An 8,045-nucleotide genomic window follows, 5' to 3' on the forward strand; every position below is an offset into this window, starting at 1 on the left:
ACAACATGAAACTTTCTGCAGTATTTACTACTACAGTGGATGAAAAAATGGTACTTGTTGGTTGTCACTTTTTTTTTTTTTTTTTTTTTTGGAGTCTCACTCTGTTGCTCAGGCTGGAGTGCAGTGGCACGATCTCGACTCACTGCAATCTCCGCCTCCTGGGTTCAAGTGATTCTCCTGCCTCAGCCTCCCAAGTAGCTGTGACTATAGGCACGTGCCACCACGGCCAGCTAACTTTTGTATTTTTAATAAAGATGAGGTTTCGCCATGTTGGCCAGGCTGGTCTCAAACTCCTGACTTCAGGTGAACTTCCCACCTCAGCCTCCCAAAGCGCTGGGGTTATAAGCATGAGACACCGCACCCTGCAGTTGTCACTTTTTTTTTTCTCTAAAGAATCGTTTTGCCAAACTTGATTCATAGTAGAATTTTAGTTTTTTGTTCTTTGTTCTTCTTTTGATGCTAAAATAAAAGTTAATTTTAATAAAATTGTTATAGATTGTTAAACATATTTTAACTAAGGCAAAGTAACTATAAGTAACTAACAAATAATGGAAATTTGGAAATAATTTCTGTTCTGATCACCTTGATTTAAAGCCAGCTTACTCCAAAATGCTGTCACATTGCTTTTATATAATCATATGCTCTCAAGTTAGTTCCTAGAAAAGCACAACAGACGTACAAACTGCAAATAAAAGGTCATTAGTGTCTGGATGTGGGATACTACATATGCAAGTATTGTTTTGAATAATCCTGATATTTCTCAGTCTTATTTACCACAATCCTCTTTCTCCAAATATTTTCCTCTTATATTTCACTATCTGAAGATGGCCATTTTTCTTCAAAAGCCATAGATGCTATCAGACAAAAATTTCTCCACTTAACATTGTGCTTTCCCTTTCTAAGTTGTGTTTAGAATTTATCAATTTCATTGTCTTTTAGCTAGTTGCAAAATCTGAAAAAAATGGTGATTATATCTATGTCAGTATTCTGGTTGCTATATTCTTCTATAGGGTTACCAAAAAAAAATATTATGATTAGGGGAAACTGGGTAAAGCTTACATGCAGATCTCTGTATTATCTTTTTTTAAACAACTGTATGTGAACTTACAACTATATTAGTAAAATTTTCATTAAAACAAAATCTGAGAGAAGTCTATTTCTAAGCAGAGCAGGTTGACTTTGGAGACATAGGCAGGTGAAGATTAATGTAAAATATTGTCTAGATTGTTAATGAATGAGTAAATTAATATATTGTAATATAGTGTATCCTTCTGCTACATAATCTTTCTTTACTACTAATTTATTTCTTTTCAATTACAGGGTCTTCCTTTTTAAAAATAATTCCTGCTTTACTATGTCTTCAATTTCTCCTTTTTGAATATTATGGTGGCTTTACTTAATTTTTACCCAAATTTATTGCTTTGTTATAACTTCCCACAGCTTCTGATTTCTGATTTTGAGAATCCATGTGGCTTTTGGATGTGTGAATTCAATTCTGAAGACTTGCTGAGGCTTGGCCATTCAGCTCAAATTATCGGCATGACCTAGTAACTGGTTCAGTAGTAGATGTATGAGAATCACAGATCCAGCTGAATTCCAGAAAATATTGTGAAAATTCAAGTTCTCTGTGGTTTGAGGACATGAAGCCTGCCTATTTTTTGCTACTATAAGAGGAGTCAGCTGGGCTTAAGTTTCATGTACAGAGATGAGCAAACCTAAAAGAGAGCCAGAGAAAAGGAGCCCCTATTGAAAATTAACTAAAGCCTATATCGTCTTTGGACTTTTTTCAAATGCATGAGATAAACAAACAAACAAAAAACAGACTTTCACTTTTCTTATTGCAACATATGAATCTCTCTAAACTACACTGATACTGAATTCAGTAATGGAAAAGAGGGTGTTGTAAGTAAAAATGTGAAACCAAGGAGAGAGTAGGTAGTGAAGAGAATTGCTCTGTCTTGTGCTGGAGAGTTGGCCTTCCTCATTCGTAGTTATAGGGGAGTTTACTAACCTGTGGCCCCTTGAACTCTGAAATAAGCATCATATAAGAAATGTCATAATGCTAAAGTATGTTGAAGCCTTCTTTTAATGTTCACTCTTGTCCCTTGATGAAGAGATAGGCTTCATTTGAAATTATACCTTCTGGAAGTTGAGAGGAGAAAAAATATGCTTTGTTAAGCAGTGCCTTCTGACTGCAGACTGTTACAAAAAACGATCTGAAATTTGGTTATCTGGTTTCTTGTAGGTTGGAAATGACAAATTCCTAACCCCAAGCTGAAGTTAATATAAGCAAAATTAAAGAGAGAGGGGACTGAAAAAGAGATAAAATTAGGGTAGAGGAAGAATCTGATTTCTCCAATTTTCCCCAGTTCCTCTCTTGAGTGTTCTCTGCCTCTTGGAAGGTAAAATTATTTCTGTGCTGGTGAAGTCCCTGGGATGCAGTCTGGGAGGAAGGAACACATCATCTTTGCTCTGTCGGTCACATGATTTTTGGTGGAAGTCATTCTACTTAGGGCGAGGAGTGTGCATAGAATACCAAAGCTGGGCTGCTAGGAAACAAAAATCTGGGGGTCCAAGGCTGCGTTTGTCAATTCTCACAGAACAACATCTCTGGCTTTTACTACTGGCCCTTGACACTAGCTGGAAGGAAATAGATCATCTTTCTTAATCCCCTAAGGGAGCAGTATTGCCAACAAAACCCAAGCAAGCCTGGCTAAAAATAGCTTATATCTGTTCAACTCTTCAATCTGTCTCTAGTCCCCACCTTTACACTATAAGAAAGTTGACTGCTAAAGAAGTCAGTGTAAGGCAGCCATACCATTTTCCATCTCTAATGTTGCAATGGTGGAGAATGAACAATGAACATGCTCCCCAAAAGCTGTCCTTGGAACTGTTCCATTTGGGAATAACTAAGAACATTTTTTTTTTTTTTTTGAGATGGAGTCTTGCCCTGTCACCCAGGCTGGAGTGCAATGGCACGATCTTGGCTCACTGCAACCTCCACGTCCTGCATTAAAGCGATTTTCCTGCCTCAGCCTCCCAAGTAGCTGGGATTACAGGTGCGCACCTCCACACCCAGCTAATTTTTGTATTTTTTAGTAGAGACGGGGTTTCCCCATGTTGGCCAGGCTGGTCTTGATCTCCTGACCTCATGATTCACCCGCCTCAGCCCTCTAAAGTGCTAGGATTACAGGCGTGAGCCACCGCGTCGGGCCCAACTAAGAGAACTTCTGACATCAATTTTCCTTGTTCTCAAATGCAAGTGCTCTGTTTTGGTTATTCTGTTTTCCTTCCACTAATAAATACTGAATGTTATACAACAGTGGGTGGACAGCTTTTCGGTTAGCTGTAGATACCTGAACCATTCTTTTTGGGTAAGACTGGATTTGGCACAGAAACACTGGGGTTGTCCTAGATACAGTAACTGGAAAGGATTTGGAGTTCACTTCATTTGGTGAGGGAGGGAGTGTACTTCATATGGGCATGGGCATTTTTGAAATTGTACATATACAATGAAAAGTATGTTTGGATGTTGGATGTTGTAACAAAGATGTGGACTGAAGTGGGATCACCTTTTGGTGGTCTCCTCAACATCTACTACATCTTTCCCCCTCATCTTACCAACAATCTCCAGCAGGGGTAATCATGAGACCTTAAGGAAGCCTGCCCCACTGCTGACTCTAGGGAATAGTTTTTATTAGAGAAGCAGAAAATTTTATCAGACCATTCCTAAAGCTTACTCTACTTGTGGATCATTTTGTTTTAAAAAGTCAATACCTTCTTGTTTTTTAAGCAATTCAAGTTGGATTTTATATTTGTCACATAAAAGATAAACATATATACTGCTCAACTTTTTCTGAAAAAAGAAAACCTCCCTCAACTTTTATCTCCTAGCTAGCATTTTATTATTTTTCTCTTCATAACTACAGTTGTTGAAATGTATTGTTTGCTTATCTCTGTAATTTCTCTTCTCCCATTTACTTGATAACACACTGCTTTCTGCTTTCTATCCTTGTCACAGTACAGAAACAGCTATTGACAAGGATATGAATGGCTTGATAATAGTCAAATCAGTGGATGTATTTCTATTCTTAACTTATCCAATCTCCACTGGTTTCAGTTTACATAAACTTCCTGTCTTTTCTTTCTTGGTCGTCTAAAAGACCCTGTCTCATTGCTTTTTAAATAACTGCCTTGGTTCTTTTTCTGTTTATATCAGAATATCTGAAACTAGGTAATTTATAAAGAAAATAAATATATTTATTACAGTTATAGAGGCTGAGAGGTCCAAGGTTGAGGGGCCACATCTGATGAGAGCCTTCTTGCTGGTGGGGACTCTGTGGTCCTGAGGTGGTACATAAAACCACAGGGTGAGGAAGCTGAGTGGGCTGATATGGTAGGTCATGTCTCTTTTCTTCCTTTTGTAAAACCACCAGTTCCTTTCCATATTAATCCATTAACTATTAAACCATTAATCTATAAATAGATTAGTCAATTTCTGAAGGCAGAGCCTTCATGATCCAGTCACTTCTTAAAGGCCTCACCTCTCAATATTGCCAAATCAAGGGATTACGTTTTAATGTGAGTTTTGGAGGGAACATTCAAACCATAGTCATAACTTCAAACAGCTTCTGCTCAATCTCTGTTTTCTTTTCTTCTGCCTATCAACTACATTGTGTTTTCCAGAGTTTCACTGATGCTACATCTTTTTACCCTTGATTTTAAGTGAGCCAAATCTTACTACACATCCTTATATAAATTATAAACACTTTCTAGGCTTATGGCAAGCCCCAGGACTCCTCCAATTTTCCAGTCTGATTGTTTCTAACCTGAACTCTTGGCTCTGTGACTTGAAACTTTTAAAATCTCTGATACTCTGCACTTGGTATCTTACGTGTATTTTTAGAATGGCATGTATTCTTAAATGCACTGTAAGAACTTGGTATTCTTACATTTGAATCTCAGTATAGTCCTATTAATTTAAGCTTGGCTTATCACTTCCTTTCTCAATTTTTTTCTGTTGCACTGGCTAGGAATTCTCTGTCCTATCTCAGGACTATAGAACACAACCACTTCTTTATTTTTTCTCAACCTGAAGACAAGGGAAATAGTTGAATGTACATTTATTTTCCTTCTTACCACCTGTTCTTCACCAACTAGAAGTGGTGTTTTTGAAGCAAAAGTAAAGTCTGAGGAGGCCTTTGGAAACCAAAAGAAAAATAGAAGAATGGCTTCATAACTCGAAGGCAATTTTTAATGTCAACACTGTCCATCCATGTTTAACCAGCAATATTTCATTGATACAAGGCAATGAAGATAAAAAATATCAAAAGACCAGGGAGTAACTAGGTTATAGATCAAGTTGGGTGACTAGAGACACTCAGCAGTTTACTCCTCCACAAAGAAATACCAAAATAACAGATAACCACATGTCAAATAGTGTCTAGAGGAACACACTGGAATTAAGCAAAGTAGTGACAAAGACACCCAGAGGCACAGAGACTTGAGATAGCAGCATAGAAAAAAAAGCGAAGTACCCAGCCAAGATCAACTTGGAGCTAAGATGGACCTCCCCACTACAGGGGAAAGGTAAGCAAAGAACATTCCACATTCCCACCACAGATGCCTTCTGCCCTAGCAATAGGAGAGCCCCACGGACCTTGCAGGCCATGAGCCAAGTATAGGAGTTGTCTGGAGTCCACATGACTGCCTTAGTCAAGAGAGGGAATTTACAGTGTTACCCTCCACCCTCTGGGACCCAGGCCACCAGAGCATTTTGTCTTTTTGAGAGTTGGGTGATCAACAGAGTGCATCCTGCTCTGGGACCCAATAGCTCCTAATTGCCACATCCCTGGGGCCCTACCAACATCCTGTCACATTCATCTAGAGGCTGCAACATTGCAACACCAGCTGGACCCAACTGTGCAGCCATCATCCTGGTACCTGAACCCGTGTGGTATCCTGTACCCTGGGGAACAGGTGGTCCAATAATGTAGGGAGGCTGCCCCCAGGACCAAGGGAACTGACATGCATTGCTGTCTAGAACCTGAGAGCAATTTGCCTGGGGCCCACCACCACCAAAAGTAACACTACCCATACCCACAGTGGAGCCGGCATCCTTCTGGGGCCTAAAAACCAGCTTGCTTGAGACTTGCTGCCTCCTTAGCAGCCCTGCCCTCTTCAGTGGCAGAGCACCTCTGTGCTCACATGCACCTCAGAGGCCTGAGGACCAGCTAGCCTGTGGCTTGCCACCACTATCACCACAGGTAACCCTACTCCCTCCAGTGGTAGAGCAGCTATATACCCACATGTGCCCCTCAGGGGTATGAGGAGCAACCTATTTGGGGATTGCTGCTGCCAGCAACCTCATCATTTTCAGAAGTGGAGCAGCCACACACCCACATGTGTTCCCCATGGGTCATGGAACTGGCCTGCCCAGGGCCTACCATTGTCACTGGTGGCCCCACCTTCTCTAGTGGCAGAGCAGCTGTGTACCTGTGCATGTTCCCCAGGGACTTGAGGACCAGCCTGCCCAGGATCCATTACTGCTACCAACAATCGTGCTTTCTCCAGCAGTGGAGTCACCTGGCACACAAATATACCACCGCAGTGGCCTGAGGATTGGTTTACCTGGGGCTTGCCTCTGTCACTGCCAGTGACTCTGCTCCTTCCAGAATACACATTCTTCTTATCACCATAAACATTCTCCAGGATAGACCACATGTTAGGCCACAAAACTAGTCTCAACAACTTTTAAAAAATCAAAACTATATCAAGTACCTATTCTATGTATTCAGACCACAGTGGAATAAAACTAGAAACCAATGACAAGAGGAACACTGAAAACTGTGTAAATCTATGGAAATTAAACAACATGCTTCTGAATGACAAGCCAATGAAAATAAGAAAATAAAAAGTCTTGAAACAAAGGAAAATAGCAACACAACATCCCCAAACCTAGGGAATATGGCAAAAGTGGTGTTAAGAGGGAAGTGTATAGCAATAAACACCTACATCATAAATGTAGAAAGATTTCAAATAGCCAACCTAATGATGTACCTCAAGAAGAAAAGAACAAACCAAACCCCAATTACTAGAAGGAAAGAAATAAAGATCAGAGCAGAACTAACCAAAACAAACTAAAAACATAAAAAGATGAGCAAAATGAAAAGAAAAAACAATATCCCAACAAACCATTAGCTAAACTAAGAATAAAAAAGAATACCCAAATAAAATCAGAAATAATAAAGGAGGTATTACAGCTGATACCACAGAAATAGAAAGGATCATGAGAATCTATTATGAACAACTATACACTGAAAAATTGGAAAACCTAGAGTAAATGAATAAATTTCGGGACACATACAACCTACCAAGATTGAGTCACAAAGAAATAGAAAACCTGAACAACCAATAACAAGTAATATGATTGAACCAGTAATAGAAGTTCTTTCAACAAAGAAAAGCTCAGCACTGGATAGCTTCCTTGATGAATACTACCAAACTCATTAAAAAGTATTAACAATAATTCTTAAACTATTCCAAAACATTGAAGAGGAAGAAATTCTTCCTAGCTCATTCTATCAGGCCAGCATTACTCTGATACCAAAAGCATAAAACAACAAAAACCAGCAACAACAAAAGAAACCGTAAAGCCAAGCCAGTATCACTGATAAACACGGATGCAAAAATCCTCAACAAAATACTCCCACACCAAATCCAATAGCACATCAAAAAGATTATATATCACAATCAAGTGGGAGTTTTACTAGGAATGCAAGGATGTTTTGACATGTGCAAATCAATAAATAAGATGCATCACATCAACAGAATAAAGGACAAAAACCATATGATCACCTCAATAGATGCAGAAAAACATTTCAGAAAAGCATTTCATAAAATTCAACATCCCTTCATGATGAAAACTCTTAAAAATTATACAGAAAGAACATACCTTAACACAAAAAGGCAAAATATAACAAGACCACACCATATTGAACAAAGAAAAGCTGAAAACTTGTCTTCCAAGAACTGGAATGAGACAA

The 8,045-nt window shown here is 39.1% G+C and overlaps 1 annotated feature.

The window, feature by feature from the left end:
* Positions 5,081-5,250: an enhancer, noted in NCBI's record as "experimental_33391 CRE fragment used in MPRA reporter constructs". NCBI's record gives its function as "activates a minimal promoter by MPRAs in K562 erythroleukemia cells, with activity observed for both the introgressed and non-introgressed 13:81025530 variant alleles {active_cell/tissue: K562}" and the evidence as "EXISTENCE:reporter gene assay evidence [ECO:0000049][PMID:34662402]".

Source organism: Homo sapiens, chromosome 13 (genome assembly GCF_000001405.40).
Source record: "Homo sapiens chromosome 13, GRCh38.p14 Primary Assembly".
Lineage (NCBI taxonomy): Eukaryota > Metazoa > Chordata > Mammalia > Primates > Hominidae > Homo > Homo sapiens.